General features: G+C 46.7%; 1 protein-coding gene across 23 annotated transcripts, besides 2 other annotated features; it reads left to right on the forward strand.

Moving 5' to 3' along the window:
- Positions 53–182: a silencer, noted in NCBI's record as "silent region_12941". NCBI's record gives its function as "represses an Ori minimal core promoter by ATAC-STARR-seq in GM12878 lymphoblastoid cells {active_cell/tissue: GM12878}" and the evidence as "EXISTENCE:reporter gene assay evidence [ECO:0000049][PMID:35858748]".
- TTPAL (alpha tocopherol transfer protein like) lies at positions 77–18,806 on the forward strand. 23 transcript variants are annotated; one of them, XM_047440482.1, is made up of 6 exons: positions 77–1,394; positions 2,827–2,850; positions 4,188–4,647; positions 8,540–8,733; positions 10,799–10,909; positions 13,466–18,806. In XM_047440482.1, exons 3-6 carry the CDS (start codon positions 4,203–4,205, stop codon positions 13,742–13,744), a joined length of 1,029 nt encoding a protein of 342 aa, XP_047296438.1. In that variant the 5' UTR covers positions 77–1,394; positions 2,827–2,850; positions 4,188–4,202; the 3' UTR covers positions 13,745–18,806. The 23 variants fall into 23 exon arrangements, with proteins under 23 accessions (XP_047296438.1, XP_047296443.1, XP_011527346.1 ...); XM_047440487.1 differs by having other exon boundaries at positions 8,540–8,631; XM_011529044.4 differs by having other exon boundaries at positions 77–1,044.
- Positions 14,198–14,307: an enhancer, noted in NCBI's record as "active region_17925". NCBI's record gives its function as "activates an Ori minimal core promoter by ATAC-STARR-seq in GM12878 lymphoblastoid cells {active_cell/tissue: GM12878}" and the evidence as "EXISTENCE:reporter gene assay evidence [ECO:0000049][PMID:35858748]".
- Positions 18,807–18,910: the final 104 nt, after the last annotated feature.

An 18,910-nucleotide genomic window follows, 5' to 3' on the forward strand; every position in this document is an offset into this window, starting at 1 on the left:
ACTGAACACCAACGCCGCGGGGAGGCGTCGCACATGCGCGCTCCTAGGCGGAGCCCCGCCTCCCACGCCCTGGATCGTCACTTCCGGCGCGAGAGGCCGGGCAGGCCGGGCAGGGAGTGCGGGTCGGTTCTGCGTGCGCTGCCGGACGAGGCTCCCGCCGCCGATTGACCCGCGCTCCGCCCGTAGTCGGGCCGGTGAGTGCCCGCGAGCCCATCCGTGTGCCCTGGGAGCTGAGGAGAGGGACCCCTGAGAGGGAAGGATAACCGGAAGTGGGGACCAGAGGAGCGAGAGACCCCAGGAAATGGGGACACCTGGGGAGGGGGTGACAGCCGGAAGTGGGGGCCTCGGAAGGTTGTCCACGGGATATGGGGTCTCGGGGGCTCTAGGAGAGATGGCTTCCTGACCTCTCCTTGTTGAGAGGAAGGGGTGGAAAGGAAAGTGATGCTCCAGAAAGGATGGGCTCCAGGTGGGGGAGATCTTTGGCTTCACCGTTACCAATGGTGTCTGCATCTCACTCATATGTCCGCCTGTCAGCTCATTCACCAGCCTGTGACTGAGTCCTGCTGAGCGCTCGGCACTGCTGAGTCCCTGGAGAGTCAACATGAAGCTCCAGGTGGAGGGTACAGATTAGAAGCCCAGGGTGGGGCTAGACGCATCCTTGCTCTGCCTCACCGGGTGTGCCCCCTTGGGCGAATCGCTTAACCTATATCCTCCGCTGATGTGTACAGACCACTGCCATGTGCCCGGCACTGGGGGTGGCAGTGGACATGGCAGACAAGCCCTCTGCCCTCGTGGAACTTAGATTCTAGGGGACAGTCCTTTTTGTCCTCCTTTGTAAAATGGCAACAGTAATAGCGCTCTCACCAAATAACGTGAAGATTAAATGAGGAAATGGGTAAAGGGCTTAGCAATGCTTGATACATGGTAAAATGCTCAAGTATGCATTCTCTTCATTCCACTATAATGTAAGCTTTATTAGGCAAGGAATTGTATTGTTTGCGTCTGTGTTCCCAGTGCCTGTGAGCACAGTGCCTGACATATATGGTAGGTGATCGGTAATTATTTGATAAATGAGTGCGTGGTGAAACTGACTCTAGATAAATGCCCATAGCATTGGACTGTAATTTCTAAAAAAGAAATAGGAACCCAGTTCTGTGGAAAACTGGAGGGAATCACCCTCAGGGAGTTTGGGAAGGATTCACTGAGGTGGTGACATGGCAGCTGAGCCTGAGCTGTCAAGTTAGGAACAAATTAGAAGAGGAAATTCCAGGCAGAGTGTATCAGAAGTGCACGAGTTATTCCAAGGATGATGGGTTATTAGTTTGTTTTGACTGGCATTTAATGTGCATCAAGGTGGGGTGCGATGGAAAATGAGGCTGGAGAGGGGCTTTGAGGTGAGGCTTGTACCTTGTGAACACTGATGTTTGATGGGATTGCAGGCATCTCTTGGTTACTTCCATAGAAACAAAGCCATAGTTGTTCCATTCCTCACTTAGCATACCTGTGCCAACCAGACTAAAGTCATTCAACAAATATTTATGGAGTGCAGATTATGTGTCTAACACCATGTTAGGCGCTGGGTTTCAGGTGATGAACAAGACAAACTTGGATGTTGCTCACAAATTGCCAACAGACAATTGCAACAGGGTGGGAGAAGTGCGGGGGAGGCACCTAACCTGGCTGGGGGTCAGTGAAGGCTACCTACTCCAGGCCACCAGCATCTCTCAGCTGGATTATTGCAATAGCCTCTAAATGGTCTGCTTCAGTCCTCACTCCCTTAGAGTCCATTCTCAAGACAGCAGATTGGTCCTTTTAAAATATATTTTTATTTATTTATCTATCTATCTATTTATTTATTTATTTATTTATTTATCTGAGATAGCGTCTCGCCCTGTCGCCCAAGCTGGAGTGCAGTGACATGATCTCGGCTCACTGCAACCTCCGCTTCCTGGTTTCAAGCGATTATCCTGCTTCAACCTCCCAAGTAGCTGGCACTACAGGCCCGCACCACCATGCCTGGCTAATTTTTGTATTTTTAGTAGAGACAGGGTTTCACCATGTTGGCCAGGCTGGTCTCGAACTCCTGACCTCAGGTGATCCATCCACTTCAGCCTACCAAAGTGTTGGGATTACAGGCATAAGCCACCACACACAGCCCAAGAAAAAATTTAAAAATTAGCCAGGCGTGGTGTGTGCCTATAGTCCCAGCTACCTGGGAGGCTGAGGCAGGAGGATTGCTTGAACTTAGGAGTTCGAGGTTGCAGAGAGCTATGATTGCGCCACTGCACTTCAGCCTGGGTGACAGAGCAAGACCCTGTCTCTCTCTTAAACAAAAAAGTGCATGAGTTCAGGTCCTCTAAGAAGCAGACACTAGGATGAGGTTAGACGTGCTAGAAATGTAGAGGCAACCCTTGCGAAGGACAGCACCTGGGAAGGGAGCTGGAGAAGTCAGGAAGAGCCACTGGCAGTGATGCAGATCAGCTCCTGTGAAGGAGGTTTGGGCAGCAAGTCTCTGACTGCAGGGCAGTCCCAACAAAGGTTTGGCCAGGCCCTCAAGCAAACGCTGCCTGTTAGAGGAGTCCTATGTCTCACTAAATCATTGGCTAGGAGCAGTGAGGCCACAGAAGGGCTGTGGAAAGTTCTGGCTTCCCCTGGATAGTGGATCTAGAGGGACAGCCACTGGGGCCCTTTATCAATTACGTTTTCCCAGCAGATCTGACCGGCACATATTCCCGACTGCCACGATAAGTTACATGGGTGTGTAGTAAAAAATTCAAACAGTATAGTAAAAATCCTCTTTCTCATCTTAAATCTTCACTTGTCCAGTTCTGTTCCAAGAGATAACCATTGGTAAGTTTCTTATATCTCTTTCCAGAAGTTTTGTGTGCATTCACAAGTGTATGTGTATAGTTTAAAAACGTGATTTTCTGTACACTATTCTGCAACTTGCTTTTTTAATATGTCAATTCATAAAGATCTGCCTACTTTTCGCTTTTTTTGTTTGTTTGTTTTGAGAGGGAGTCTTGCTCTGTCACCCAGGTGGGAGTGCAGTCATGATCTCGGCTCACTGCAAGCTCTGCCTCCCGGGTTCACGCCATTCTCCTGCCTCAGCCTCCCTAGTAGCTGGGACTACAGGCACCTGCCACCACGCCCGGCTAATTTTTTGTATTTTTAGTAGAGATGGGGTTTCACCGCGTTAGCGAGGATGGTCTCGATCGCCTGACCTCATGAGTCGCCTGCCTCGGCCTCCCAAAATGCTGGGATTACAGGCGTGAGCCACCGCGCCCGGCCCCCTAATTCTTTTTCATGACTGACTAGTACCCCATTAATATGGTAATATTACTTAACCAGTCTCCCCTGATAGGCAGTTAAGATGTTTCCAATCTTTTATCATTATAATCAATACTTGTGAAGGCCATGTGCATATTATGCATATATATACAAGTATATGTCCTAGAAATGGAATTGCTGACCCAAAGGGCATGTAGGTTTACATTCTGAAGATATTGACAAATGCCCTCCAAAGAGGCTGTCAATTTATACTCCCAGCAGCAGCAAGCATATTAGAGTACGTTTATTTTTGCCAATCTGAATCTGAGTTGTTTTTTTTTTTTTTTTTTTTTTTTTTTTTGAGAGTCTTGCTGTGGCTGGAGTGCAGCAGCGCCATCTCGGCTCACTGCAACCTCCACGTCCCGGGTTCAAGCAATTATCCTGCCTTAGTCTCCCAAGTAGCTGAGATTACAGGCACTCACCACACCTACCTAATTTTTGTATTTTTAGTAGAGATGGGGTTTCACCATGTTAGCCAGGCTGGTCAGGTGATCCGCCTGCCCCAACCTCCCAAAGTGCTGGGATTACAGCATATACATTACAGTTGTTTTAATTCACATTTATTTAATGATGAATAAGGTCGAGCACCTATTAATACATTTATAAGGAAGGCCCTGGTGTTTATTAGGGAGTGTATAGTCTGCTGTAGCTGCTGCCTGCCTCCCTGGGGACTAACAGCAGCCGGCCTGGGGTCAGACTTGCGTGTATGGTTTAGATCCAGTTCATTGCCCCCAGTTGAGAAACACTGCCCTGAGGTTACTCGGTTTTTACAGAAGTGTTCCTGTCCCCTACACTGTACTGCCCTAGGATTTGAAATAAGCACTTGTTAACTTTGCTTAGGGCTTCTCTGTTGGCAGGGACCTTGGTAGCTAATGTCCGAAGAAAGTGACTCTCTGAGAACCAGCCCTTCTGTGGCCTCACTCTCTGAAAATGAGCTGCCACCACCACCTGAGCCTCCGGGCTATGTGTGCTCACTGACAGAAGACCTGGTCACCAAAGCCCGGGAAGAGCTGCAGGAAAAGCCGGAATGGAGACTTCGAGATGTGCAGGCCCTTCGTGACATGGTGCGGAAGGAGTACCCCAACCTGAGCACATCCCTCGACGATGCCTTCCTGCTGCGCTTCCTCCGAGCCCGCAAGTTTGATTACGACCGGGCCCTGCAGCTCCTCGTCAACTACCACAGCTGTAGAAGAAGCTGGCCCGAAGTCTTCAATAACTTGAAGCCATCAGCCTTAAAAGATGTCCTTGCTTCCGGGTTCCTCACCGTGCTGCCCCACACTGACCCCAGGGGCTGCCATGTCGTCTGCATCCGCCCAGGTATCTCCCTAGACTGTTGTGGGGTGTGTGTGTCCAGTCCTTCTGCAGTGTGTCCATTCAGCACCCTGTCCTCCTTTCCAAGTCCCTTTTTTACCCCTCCTTTGTTATAGTCAAGGCTCTTTTGATTGCAGATAACACAAACCTACTCAAACCAACTTCAGAAAAAAGGGAGGATTTAGTCGAAGGAGACAGGAGTCCCTCCCAGAACCAGAGAGCTGAAGGCGTGGCAGCTTTTACTAGGGCCTAGAACCAAGAACCAGAATGCCACCAGGAGCCAAGACAGCCGTTCTCCCTGTCTCTGCCTGACGGTCTGTGTATCCTTCAGCCACACATTTCTGCCTTTTGCATATCTTCTTCACACTTTTTCTGTGTATGGCTGTCCCGCTCCTGTGCACGTAGTTAAATCTGGCACCCTCTCAGCTCTCAGGTTTGCCTGACCACCAAATTAAGTTCCTCAATGCAGATTCCCAATTTCTAGTGGGGAGCATCTGGTGGGGCCTAAGAATCTGCCCCTGGCCATAGGATACAAGCATGACTGCCAGGGCCCTCTCTGAGCCCTCTTTGTGAATAGGTTGAGGTACAGGTATCAGTGCAAGGGTGCGGACTGGGCAGACACCTGGAAAGGTGCCTCCTCTGTGCCTCCTCCAACCTTTCCTTCCTTTCCTCTATTTTGTGAAGCCACTGACAGGATTCACTTTGGATTTGTTTTTTGATCTTAGCATTTCATGGCAGTGATTAGGATACCTTACATTTCTTTGTCATGGTGGTTTACGAATGGGGGCTCCCTGCCACTAAAAGAGCATTTAGAAATACTCCCCTGCCAGGCGCAGCAGCTCATACCTGTAATCCCCGCACTTTGGGAGGGTGAGGGAGAAGGATTGCTTGAGGCCAGGAGTTTGAGACCAGCCTGGGCAACATAGTGAGACCTTGTCTCTACAAAAAATTTAAAAAAAAATGCTCTTTGGGGAGCATTTCAACACAATGACCAGGGGCTGCCAGAACTCAAGATTTCTGATTCTTAGGCCTGTTCTCTTCCATGACACCAAAAGCGTTATTAAACTTTGGAATGTTCTACTCCATTCCTAGCCTCAACATTTTCCATCAGACCAGAGCTGAGAGAAAAATGGAAAGTAAGATGCAATGTTCTCCCCAAGTAAGCCAGGGAATGAGAACACACTAATAGCCCTCTTTCGCTCATTCATATAAACGCCCTCTTGAAGGGAAGTTTGATGGGGAGTGGACACCTCCATGCACTTTCCTCCGCCTTTACTCATTCCCCAAACTCTCTTTGGAGGCTAAACCATTCTCTTCAGACTTTACTATGTATGTACCAAGACCACTGTTAATGGCTTACCTGCCATTTTAGGTACTTGCCAAAATTAGTGGTGTTTATTTTAAAATAAGCAATGCAGTGCAGATTTTAGGGCGCCAGGAGACTTAGAAACCAGTCAGCAGGTTTTTCTGCTGCTCCTCTGTACTCAACTCATAAGAATATTACAACACAGTCAGATATTACAACACTGATTGCACCTTTGCTTGTGTAGTTTCAACCCTTTGCTTGTGAGATGAATTTTTTCCCCATATGTCTGGAGCAGATCTGGACCCCTTTCCACTGACCCAGCGTTTTAGGAAGAGGCATACACAGAAAGGTTTCTTCTCAATTGGGTATCAGCTTTGCCTTTGTTAAAGCTCTTTTGAGACATGTGATTGAAAGGGATGATATCCAGTTACATAGAGGCAGGGTTAATTGGCAGCAACGTTAGACAGCAAGCTGGCACAATTTGGGGACAAAGATCTTTCACGAGAATTTTGCACATATCAGGTCAGGTGTGGTGGCTCATGCCTGTAATCCCAGCACTTTGAGAGGCTAAGGCAGGTGGATCATGAGGTCAGGAGTTCCAGACCAGCCTAGCCAACACAGTAAACGGCCCCCGCCTCCCCCCAACCCCCACCCCCTGTCTCTACTGAAAATACAAAAATTAGCTGGGCGTGGTGGCACATGCCTGTAATCCCAACTACCCCGGAGGCTGAGGCAGGAGAATCGCTTGAACCCGGGAGGCAGAGGTTGCAATGAGCCGAGATCACGCCACTGCACTCCAGCCTGGGTGACAGGGCAAGACTCTGTCTCAAAAAAAAAAAAAAAAAAAGTTTTTTGCACACATCACATATCCCATTGTTGGCAAATGGGAAGTTTTATCTTTTAAGAAAGAGGCACATAGATTTTGCTGGGATTTTCTTGAGAACAGTGGTTAACAGTAAAAAGTGGGCATTCTCATTTTTTTTTTCCCAAAGAGAGGAAAGAATCATTAAATACATGGGGTGTATTAAAAAAGTATCCACCTTGGAAAGAGGAGGGGAACATAGCACTATGTTCCATCCTTACAATACCTCCGTCAAGGTCGTGTATGAGTCAAGACTCAGCTTTTTTTTTGAGACAGAGTCTCGCTCTGTTGCCCATGTTGGAGTGCAGTGGCGCGATCTCGGCTCACTGTAACCTCTGCCTCCTGGGTTCAAGTGATTCTCCTGCCTCAGCCTCCCAAGTAGCTGAGACTACAGGTGTGCACCACCATGCCCAGCTAATTTTTGTATTTTCAGTAAAGACAGGGTTTCACCATGTTGGCCAGGCTGGTCTTGAACTCCTGACCTCCAATGATCCACCCACCTTGGCCTCCCAAAGTGTTGGGATTCCAGGCGTGAGCCACCACATCTGGCCAAAACTCAGTCTGTGTGGCAAGTGACAGCCAACTCACGTTAGCTGAAACAAACAAAAAAACCTCAGTTGCTCAGATAACTGAGGTCTAGCCGTATTTCCATTCAGGGGCCCAAACTCTGGCACTGGAAAGCTGTCCCCACCACTGCTGTCCTCAACAGGGGCTTCACTCCCAGGCCAGCTCTCTTGCCTCATGGGGCCCGTGAATCTCAGACTCACCGCCTCAAAACTACAAGAGGGAAGACAGAACTCTTTCCAAAGGGCCAGGGGTCCTAGAATTGAGTCTCCTTGACTCTGCTTGACCTGGCTTGGATCACACACTGTGGCCAGAAGGATGTGCTGTCAGATTGGCCAATCAATCCCCAGTCACTTGCTCACCTCTGAAGTCAGGAGTCAAGTCAGTTCTATCCAAACTGCATGGCTAGAGTGGGAGGAGGTGGTTCCCTAAGGAAAATCAGGTTAGTGCTATGAAGATAAGGGGAAATACATGATGGCAGAAAGCACAGATGTCCATGAAGGTAGGCATTATCACCCTATTCTACTTATGAGGACATCGGGGCTCAGAGTGAGGTATTATAGTAACTTGCCCAAGGTCACATAGCTAGTAACATTCAAACCTCAGGTGTGTCTGACTTCAGAGTGCATACTTTTTTTTATATTTTTGAGACAGGGTCTCACCCTGTCACCCAGGCTGGAGTACAGTGGCATGATCACTGCAGCCTCAACCTCCTGAGCTCAAGAGATCCTCCCACCTCAGTCTCCCAAGTAGTGAGACTACAGCCACACCCCACCATACCTGGCTAGTGTTTGTATATTTTGTAGACATGGGGTTTCGCCATGTTGCCTGGGCTGGTCTTGAATTCCTGGGCTTATGCTTAATTCCTCCCACCTCGGCCTTCCAAAGTACTGGGATTACAGGCATGAGCCACTGTGCCCAGCCAGAGCTCATGCTCTTAACCTCAACACTCAATTGTATTTCCATCACAAAATGTGCTGCTGTTTGGAGTTAAGAAACCAGCTGCTGCTTATTGTTCCATTTACTAACCTAAATAAGAGTCATGGCTACTAGAATATCTTTCTTTTCCATTTTGAAACAACAGTGATAGAAAGGAGATAAATCTTTGTTTGACCACTTATTTATATTAACTTCTGTAACATACTGTCAATCTCTTATGACCTTAGACAGATGGATACCAAGCAACTATCCAATTACTGAAAACATCCGAGCCATATACTTGACCTTAGAAAAACTCATTCAGTCTGAAGAAACCCAGGTGAATGGAATTGTAATTCTTGCAGACTACAAAGGAGTGAGTTTATCAAAAGCATCTCACTTTGGCCCTTTTATAGCCAAAAAGGTGATTGGCATCCTCCAGGTAAGACCCGTATGTGTCCTGCCTGTTTCGTGGTGGCTCTGGCTTTCCCCAGGGCCTGTCCATTTACTGTGGGTCTCACATGATACACAAACTGCACATCCCACACCTGCAATCTGAAAAACACAAAAGCATTATGGGAAGAAATTTAAAAGTCCTATTTACCACTTGTTCTCATCAGTCTCTCAAGTACTCTCTGGAGTAGGTACTTCAGTAAGACAAGAGTCCAAAAAACTAGAGAATTTGCTTGTTGCCTTTTCTTGGTCTGGAAGGCAGAGGAAGAATTCTCATAACAAACAAAACTGGCTGGGCGCGGTGGCTCACGCCTGTAATCCAATTCTTTGGGAGGCCGAGGCAGGTGGATCACTTGAGGTCAGGAGTTTGAGACCAGCCTGGCCAACATGGTAAAACCCCATCTCTACCAAAAATACGAAAATTAGCTGGGCATGGTGGCAGGCACCTGTAATCCCAGCTACTTGGGAGGCTGAGGCAGGAGAATCATTTGAACCCAGGAGGCGGAGGTTGCAGTGAGCTGAGATCGCGCCATTGCACTCCAGCCTGGGTGAGAACAGCAAAACTCTGTCTCAGAAAACAAACAAACAAAAAACCTAAGAAATTATGCTTCTGCGTAAGGTGCTGGAGCCCCTCCTGCCCTCTGTGGACCTGAGGGATATGGTGTTCTGTTGGGCTGTATTTTGGTCAGATGCTTCACACCTCATGTTCTGTGTTTCAGAACATGAGTCACTGGGGACTGTGGTGCTCCCTCCATATCTGCACCGTGTTTAACAGCTTGCACAGTGCTTTTACAGTCATCAGGGCCTATTCAGTCCCTCAGCGAATCCTCTGAGATAGGCAAGGCAAAAACTATTTTTCCTTTTTGATAGATGGGAAGATGGAGACCTAGAGAAAATATAGCCTGTCACAGCTGTGACAGGTTTTGATTACTTGTTCATTCTGACCCACCACGTGGGGTGTTTTCCCTTGTAAACTATGGGGCACCGGTGGTATAGTAGCTCTTCTCACTGATTCCACAAATGTTTCAGCCCCTGTGGTGCACCAGGTTTATTATTTAAATAAATCAGTGCACATTTGGACATTATCAAACATTTGGATTCTGGCTTTGAGCCAACCCTGGCTTTCCTTCGCTGGCACTCCTTTTGATGCCTCCTCCTGAATACCTTGTAGATTCAAGTGTCAGGATCAAGAGTGTGGATCAGTGTTAGTACCGTAAGATCATCTGGAGAGGAGAAAAAATTAAGTAAGTTTGGGAAATGCTGTATAGCATGTCCCTTTCTTGTGAATTTCACTGTAAGAATTTACATGTTAAAGGCTCTGAACAGGAATGCAGTTAAGGAAACTCACTTGATTATGCTTAGTGGACTACGTTTCTCAAACTCATTTGCCTGCTGTGGAGCCCTGTTTTATATAACCTCTAATAGCCTGAGAAATATACTTTGGGCAACACTGATCTGGAAGGTCTGGTATTTGCCAGATCTGTCCCTGTAGACTCAGACTGTTTTCTGCTGTAAGAGCAGCAGCTCTTCATATGTTTGCCTCTCTTCTTTTTTTTTTGAGATGGAGTCCAGGCTGTCATCCAGGCTGGAGTACAGTGACACGATTTTGGCTCACTGCAACCTCCACCTCCAGGGTTCAAGCAGTTCTCCAGCCTCAGCCTCTCCAAGTAGCTGGGATTATAGACACGTGCCACCATGCCCAGCTAATTTTTGTATTTTTAGTGGAGATGGGATTTCACCATGTTGGCCAGGCTGGTCTCGAACTCCTGACCTCAAGTGATCCGCCCACCTCGGCCTCCCAAACTGCTGGGATTACAGGCATGAGCCACTACACCCAGCCTCTGTTTGCCTCTCTTCTAACCCAGTTTTGGGTCCCAGGAAAGACTTTCCCTGAGGTCCGTCTTCCTAGTTAGGCCCCACGTGGACTGTCATTGAGGAGGCCATAAGGATCAGATCAGACTGATGTTGGGGCTGAAAGTGAAGATTTAACTTGGGGGAGGAAGGTGTGGAAAGATTCTCCAGATGTTCTAAACCCCTTTGCCTTTCCCACACAGGATGGTTTCCCCATTCGGATAAAAGCAGTCCATGTGGTGAATGAACCTCGAATATTTAAAGGCATTTTTGCCATCATAAAACCATTTCTAAAGGAGAAAATAGCAAACAGAGTAAGTGATGATCCTATTGACTTCAGATTTTTCTTTTCCTCTGTTGATTTATTTGTGACATCTGGTACTTGTTTATTATTTTTGCCCTGGAACAACTAATTTGGAAAAGTACAGAGTTACAGATAAAATAAATGAACAGTCCCTTTTGTGAGGAGAAGATGGAAGAGTAAATGAACAAGAATTTAATATTTGCCAGTAGAGAGAGCAGAACCAGGATTTTTATCATAAGAGCCTCCCTGGGCAGTATAGCAAGACTCATCTCTAAAAAAATTTTTTAAATTAGGTGGGTGTGCCTGGGGCACAGTGGCTCACGCCTGTAATCCCAGCACTTTGGGAGGCCGAGGTGGATGGATCACTTGAGGTCAGGAGTTCGAGACCAGCCTGGCCAACATGGTGAAACCCCGACTCTACTAAAAATACAAAAAATTAGCCAGGCATGGTGGCACATGCCTGTAATTGCAGCTACTTGGGAGGCTGAGGGAGGAGAATCACTTGAATCCGGGAGGCGGAGGTTGCAGTGAGCCAAGATCATGCCGCTGCACTCCAGCTTGGGCAACAGTGAGACTGTCTCAAAAAAAAAAAAAAATTAGGTGGGTGTGGTGGCACATGTCTGTAGTCTCCACTACTCAGGAGGCTGAGGTGGGAGGACTGCTTGAGCTCAGGAATTCAAGGCTGCCATGGGCTTGAACAATGGGCTATGGTCTTGCCACTGTGTTCCAGCCTGGGTAACAGAGCAGAACACTGTCTCTAAAATAAATTTTTTTTAAGTTATGGTCATTAGAACTGTGGGGTTTAAAAATGCTACTTAAGCCTTTCCATTTGCCTAATATGTTGTCCCACTGTACAGTTTGTGGAGCAATTCAAGGTTTACGAGCTATGTGAGTTTTTAGCTTACCTCTTATTTAAGAAGGGATAAATAGCACTTTGTCTTCCTTTCTGACCCAGAAGAGCCAATTCCCTCTTCAGCCTTTCCCAGTCCCACTGATTGAAATGGGATGGGTGGTATTTTTCTCCTTCCCTAGGCCTAGGAAGGTCACTGCAAAGACTGGGCCCTGAATTTTACTTGCTTTTTCTTTTTTTGAGACGGAGTCTCGCTCCGTCACCCAGGCTGGAGTGCAGTGGTGCGATCTCAGCTCACTGCAACCCCTACCTCCCGGGTTCAAGCAGTTCTCCTGCCTCAGCCTCCCCAGTAGCTGGGATTACAGGCACGTGCCACCACGCACAGCTAATTTTTGTATTTTTAGTAGAGATAGGCTTTTACCATGTTGGCCAGGCTGGTCTCAAACTCCTGACCTCAGGTGATCCACCCGCCTTGGCCTCCGAAAGTGCTGGGATTACAGGCGTGAGCCACCGCACTGGGCCCTTGCTTTTTCAAAGTAACATATATAGATGGAAAATCTCAAGGAGGTAAGGGAGGGAACTTGAAATCCAGCTCCAGATTCCTAGGCTCTTTCCCTGAAGATTTTGATTCATCAGCTCAGGGATCTGTGCTTTAAAATCCCCTTAGGAAATTCTGATGCACAGCTAGATTTGCAAACCACTAACTTAGTGGCTTCCCTGACTGTATGTGAACCCATGTGGGTCCCTAAAGATTCTGTTTGGAACTTTCACCAAAGCAGCCTTTGGACAGGTCTTTTACATCTGTGAAATGCGCTGATTTGGGGCCCACAATGTTCTTCGTTTGTTCCTTCATAGGTTCCTTTATTCAGAAATATCTATTGATCAACTCTATGTACAAGCATGTTCTAGATGAACAAAACAGACCAAAACCCCTGCCCCTAGGAAAATTATATTCTAAAGGGAGCCACAGTGAATTATCTAGTATTAGAATGTGGTAAGTGCTACAGAGAAAAATAAAGCAGAGAAAAGTATAGCGTGTGTGAGGTGGGAAGGGTTGCAGTATTCAACTGAGTGGTTAGAGATGGCAGCCTTGAGAAGCTGACATTTGAGCAAAGACAAGAAGTGAGAGAGTGAGCCATCTAGGTATCTGGGAGGCCAGCAAGGACACAACCCTGACGTGGGAGCCTGTCCGGCATGCTGGGAGAGCAGCTAGGCTGGCGCAGCTGGGTCAAGACTGGAGGGGCAGGTGGTGAGAGGAGCACTCAGAGAAGTAATGAGGCTAGATTATGATGGGCCTCAGAGTCTGAGGTGGGAGTGCTGGAAGGCTGTACATAGAGGCACGACTGTGATCTGAGTTTCACTGAAAAGAACTTAGATTGCAGAGGGACAAGAGTGGGAGCAGGGAGACCAGATAGGAGGCCACTGGAGGAATCCAGGGAGAAGCGATGTGGCTGCTGCCATTAATTGAATAGTGTGGTGGTGAGGCGGCTGGATCCTGGATATATTCTGAAGCTCCAGCCAACAGGATGTATGGTATAAGGAAAAGAGAATTAAGGATACTCCAGGCTTTCTGGGCTGAAAAAGTAAGGGTAGAGTTGCCATTAACATTTCCTTTCTTCATTCAACAGATATTTATTTGAGCACCTACCATGGAGGAGATTTCTGCATTCCTGATTAACCTAAGGACATGTGTGTTTTCATTTCATTCCCTTTTAGTTCTTCCTCCATGGGTCTGACTTGAACTCTCTCCACACAAACCTTCCAAGAAGCATCCTCCCCAAGGAGTATGGGGGCACGGCTGGGGAGCTGGACACTGCCACCTGGAACGCGGTACTGCTGGCTTCAGAAGACGATTTTGTGAAAGAGTTCTGCCAACCTGTTCCTGCCTGTGACAGCATCCTGGGCCAGACGCTGCTGCCCGAGGGCCTGACCTCAGATGCACAGTGTGACGACTCCTTGCGAGCTGTGAAGTCACAGCTGTACTCCTGCTACTAGCCCGTCCCCCAGGGTCACCATCTTTAATTCTTTTCCTTCTTTTCTTTGGAGAGGCACAAGGAGAATTTAAGGGTCCATGGATTCAGTCTTGCTCCTTGTAATTAAACTGCAGGATGGAGGAACAGCCTGAGATATGAGCATGAGCCCATTTTGGGGTAAGCCTTTGGTTACTTTAATTACTCCATGGAAGACATGGAAAATGTCCCCACTGATTCTTAAACATTTGGAATCCCAGTCTGCAACTATTAATCTGGAGGCTATATCTATTTTGTTTTGCTTTTTGGTTGGGGGGTGGTGATCTGGTTCTTACACATCTTGGAAGCAAGAACAATCAGGACCAAAGTCACTTTGATCCCACTTTTCCAGGAGAAAAACCACCTGTTTGGCCAGTGAGAACTACTTGTATGAAATAATTTGGCCAAACCTTCAGTGTGACCAAATGTGAGACTGGGAGTTTGTGTTTTTCACAGGAACCCTAAGTATAGACCTCTGCTGCTCATCAGGAAACTTACTGGAGATGAAGGCCCCAGCTGTTGTCACCGGGTTTGGAAAGCACCTTAACTGAATCATGTAAGCATCAGGACATAAGCAGCACTTTGTGGTCAAATGTGGAAGCCGGAGACTTCAAAGCACCTCTGGGACCCACTGGTTGAAGTTTGCAATAGAAACTTAAGTTTTCCCAAATCCATAAAGCCTTAGCCCTGGTTCTCAATAGAATCAGGGACCTAGCAGGAAATGATTTTACTCAACCTAAAATGCTGGATCCCAGGCCCGTGTAGCTATAAGAATTCTGGCCTGGATCCCAGGTGTACAACTATGGACAAGATATGGGCCTCTACTTTCTCCTCTATAAAATGAGGCTGGATGAAATGTCAGCTAGGGCCATTTTGGCTGCTGAGGCTCTGGGATTTGGTTTAGTTACTGAATGTTAGATTTTCTGCCTAGAAAGATAACTATCTAGATACAAGTGGTTGGATCCTGTTTTTGTTTGTGGTACATGTGTCTTTCCAAGAGAGATGTGTCACCAATTAGCCCTGCCTTTAAAGAAACTATTATGTGTATTCCTGGGACTCACTGACACCAATTTTCTTTTTATAGTGATGGTTCAATTTTGAAAAGATGGCTTTTGTGAGGCCAGGTTAAGGTGACCAGGATCTTGTATGATGAATTCCTTCCATCCCTGAGACTCTGGTACTATATTGTAAACCTGGCTACAGTAGTTAATTACTTGAGATTCTTTAATTTTGGTCTCTGAGCTGGGCGTGGTGGTTCATGCCTGTAATCCCAGCACTTTGGGAGGCCAAGGTGTGCGGATCACAAGGTCAGGAGTTCGAGACCCGCCTGGCCAAGATGGTGAAACCCCATCTCTACTAAAAATACAAAAATTAGCTGGGCGTGGTGGCGGGCTCCTGTAGTCCCAGCTACTCGGGAGGCTGAGGCAGAAGAATCACGTGAACCCAGGAGGCAGAAGTGGCAGTGAGCCAAGATCGCACCACTGCACTCCAGCCTGGGCGACAGAGCAAGACTCTGCCTCAAAAAAAAAAAAAAAAAAAAAAAATTTTTTTTTTTTTGGTCTCTGGAAATGAACACAAGGGCAGGTTATTCCTGGGTCACTTCTGGGCCCCCCTGCCCTCCCAGCCCCACTTGAGTTTCTCTCTCTGGTGTGGGTGAACCAGTCAGCCTGAATGTTCTGCATTTCAGCACTTTAGAACCTCCCTGTGAAGATTTTAGCCTTAGCCCAAACATCAAATTAGACGGTTCACATGATGGTTTTTGACCTATTTCCTTTCTAATGTATTCCACATGATCATGGTGTTAAATAGTGAAAAGTACTGTGTTGTGTGTGCACCTTCTCCGTGCATTTATTAGACTAACCAGTCAAGCAGACAGCTCAGTTAGGGAGAAAACAATACTCTGAAATTTGAAGGCCAATCTGTTGTTACTAAGCTGTTTATCTCTATTGCCTTTTTAAATGTCTGGATAAGTTGTTGGTGGAAATTAAGTTACTTAACCTCATTAATACCAATTCTAGAGAAAGTTCTTTTCACCATGGATAGTAACCCTGGATCCTCTACGGTACTGGCTGAGCTGGAAGTGCCAAAAAGCACTCCTGGCTGCTTCTGGTTCCATCTGATGATGATGTGACACACACTGCTGAAAAGGCCCAAGCAGGGCAAGTGGGATGGCTGAAGGAGGGAAGGAGGGGGTTCAGAACCCACTGGCCTGGATGGGAGAACTGGGTGGAGGCTTCCCCAAGAGGGAAGACAGATAAACAAAACAAAACAAAAACTGGGTAAAGAGGAATGAATCACTCAGCCCTGATGTTTCAATTCTACACTGCATTCCTGGCCAGTCGCATTTGTTTTAATGCAGGCATGGCCACAGCTCTCCTAGAGAATTATCTCAAAGACCAGAAGGGACCTGGAGAGGCCTATTTCTTAGGTTTTTCCAGTTGGACAAGGAAGGAGTGGTTTCACTCAGCTTCTAGAAGGAGTTGGAGCCTAAGTTTATCTGCCTCCGGGAGCTGCTTGCTTTGTTTTGGCTCCGAAGAGGTATCAGATAGTTTTGACACCTCAGGAAACTTGAACCAAGCTGTGAAACCAAGACCTCCCTGCGTGAAAATCAAGGTGGTCTCCTTGTGGCTTCACCAGGATGTTTGTGTCAGGCTGTCTCAGCAGGGTGGGGAATGACCAGCCAGGGAGCACAGTGAGCCTTACTCAGCACTGGGGAGCGCACTGGTGAGGCAAACCCATGAACCTCAAGAACTGGGAGTATGTTCCTTCAGGGAGAAGTTCTGGCCCATTGCACAAACACTTGGAAATTAACTTTTCCCTAAATTCAAGATAGTGTGGTGTCGGAAGGAAATGGGACAGTAAATTAGGAGACGCGGGCTCCACCTTTACCTTACTACGTGGCCTTTGATGAGCTGGCTTAACATCCCTGAGTGATTCCATGATAGAGATCTATACTCCAAACTTTATTCCTGGTATCTAGTTGGCTTCACTGCCACAGACACTGTACTCTCTCTTTTTAGAAGTTTTTTTCCTTTTTTTTCCCCCTCAATTGGCTTATTTAGTAAATTTAGGTCTGAATGAATTGGTACCTAAAAGCTTCCAAATCTATACATTTCAGAATATGGGAATTTTCTTCCTCTTCTTCCCCCATATCCCAACATGGAATTCTGGAAAACTGTGCCTCTTCCCCTGTTCTGCCTTCATGGGGGAGAGACTGGATGAAATCTACAAAAACAGCCAAAAGTGCCACCCTGGCTTCATGTCTTGAATTTCTAACTTGCTCTTGGCAAAGGTCGCTTTATTTTTTAATTTTTTTCCTTGCATTTTCTTTTTTATTCTATTGCTGCTGCAAAAATTAAGGCAAAAGTAGCTTTCGATCTTTCATATTTCATCCTGGTTTCACAAGGAGTCACTTATCTTAGGAGGTCTGTAAGTCAGGTTACAAGGCCGGGAGCGGTGGCTCACACCTGTAATCCCAACACTTTGAGCGGCTGAGGTGGGTGTATCACCTGAAGTCCGGAGTTTGAGACCAGCCTGGCCAACATGGTGAAACCCCGTCTCTACTAAAAATACAAAAAATTGGCTGGGCATGGTGGTGGGTGCCTGTAATCCCAGCTACTTGGGAAGCTGAAGCAGGAGAATCACTTAAACCCAGGTGGCGGAGGTTGCAGTGAGCCGACATCGCGCCATTGCACTCCAGCCTGGGTGACGAGTGAAACTCCATCTCAAAAATAAAAATTGAAAAATCAGGTTACAAAACACCATTTTTCCCGAAATAAGACAATAAGAGGCTTTTCTCTGAATTCCTTTATATTGAGCCTTTCAGAATTCTCCCTGGGTGGGCAATTTCTTTAAATAGTATTTGACCCTCAGATCAATCCTGGGAATTTTTTTCATTTGGGTAGCAAAAGCTAGAGTATTGCTGTGGCGATTATAATACTTTTAAAAAGTTTTACCATTTTAAAGTTGCCAACATTTAATTAAGGTTTTCCTTTGAAGCCTCCTTTAATTTAGGGAGTAAAATGTTAGCTAAACCAATTATATACTATATACTATACACTGTATCTCCTGTGGCCATGAGAGGTGTGGCTATACCGAACAGAAACATGCCTACTGTTCAGGAAAGATGTCAGTTCTGGTAACACCTCTCTGTATTGGGATCTGTTAATTTTGTAAATCTAAATTCTTCTGCTCTTGGCCAGGTGCAGTAGTTCATGCCCTGTAATCCTAGAACTTTGGGAGGCTGAAGGGGGGGCGGATCATTTGAGGTCAGGAGTTTGAGACCAGCCTGGCCAACATGGTGAAACCCCATCTCTACTAAAAAGTACAAAAATTAGCTGGGTGTGGTGGTGCGTGCCTGTAATCCCAACTACTTGGGAGGCTGAGGCAGGAGAATCGCTTGAACCTGGGAGGCAGCGGTTGCAGTAAGCCAAGACTATGCCACTGCACTCCCGCCTGGGTGACAAAGCAATATTCTGTGTCAAATAAATAAATTCATTCTTCTGCTCTCCTGACTTAGAGAAATGGTTTGCTTAAAATGCTAGTAACAAACATCACAGTCAACAGGAGCTTGCTTCATGCGAAGGATCAATGTGATTTGTGGATGGAGATGATAGTGATGAAATTCCTGTTTCATGGGGCTGTTTTTCTTTTCATCTCACTGGGCAGCAGGTTTAGTGAGGCAGTGAGATGCTGCTGCTGTGGATTCTTGTAGCTATGCCTCGGCTTCTTGGCATATCAGGTAGGAACCTGTTACAAGTGAAATACTTGAAACCTCTCTGACCAAGAGCCTCTGATGGAGTGGGAGGTGAGCTAATTCTCTGACCAGCTTGGGGCACTGTTTCAGCCACTGGTCACATTCCTTGCTTCAAACTGAAATTCAGTTTGGCTTTGAGTATAGGGATACATGGTGGATTCATGTACTTCAGTGTTTGTTTTGACCAAAGTTTATTTTTCTAGTGCATTTTCTAAGTCAAAGTGGTGAAAATATGTAATAATTTTAGTATGCATGACTCAGTCTGAAACAATAAAAATCTCTGAAAAATGTGCATGGGGTTCTTTTGTGATGATGACAGTTTGGATAAAGGTTCCAAGGTTCATTATTCACAGCCCGGGTAGACCACCTCCTCTGCAGGTGAGGGAGGGAGGGGCA

This window comes from Homo sapiens, chromosome 20 (assembly GCF_000001405.40).
Source record: "Homo sapiens chromosome 20, GRCh38.p14 Primary Assembly".
Taxonomy (NCBI): domain Eukaryota; kingdom Metazoa; phylum Chordata; class Mammalia; order Primates; family Hominidae; genus Homo; species Homo sapiens.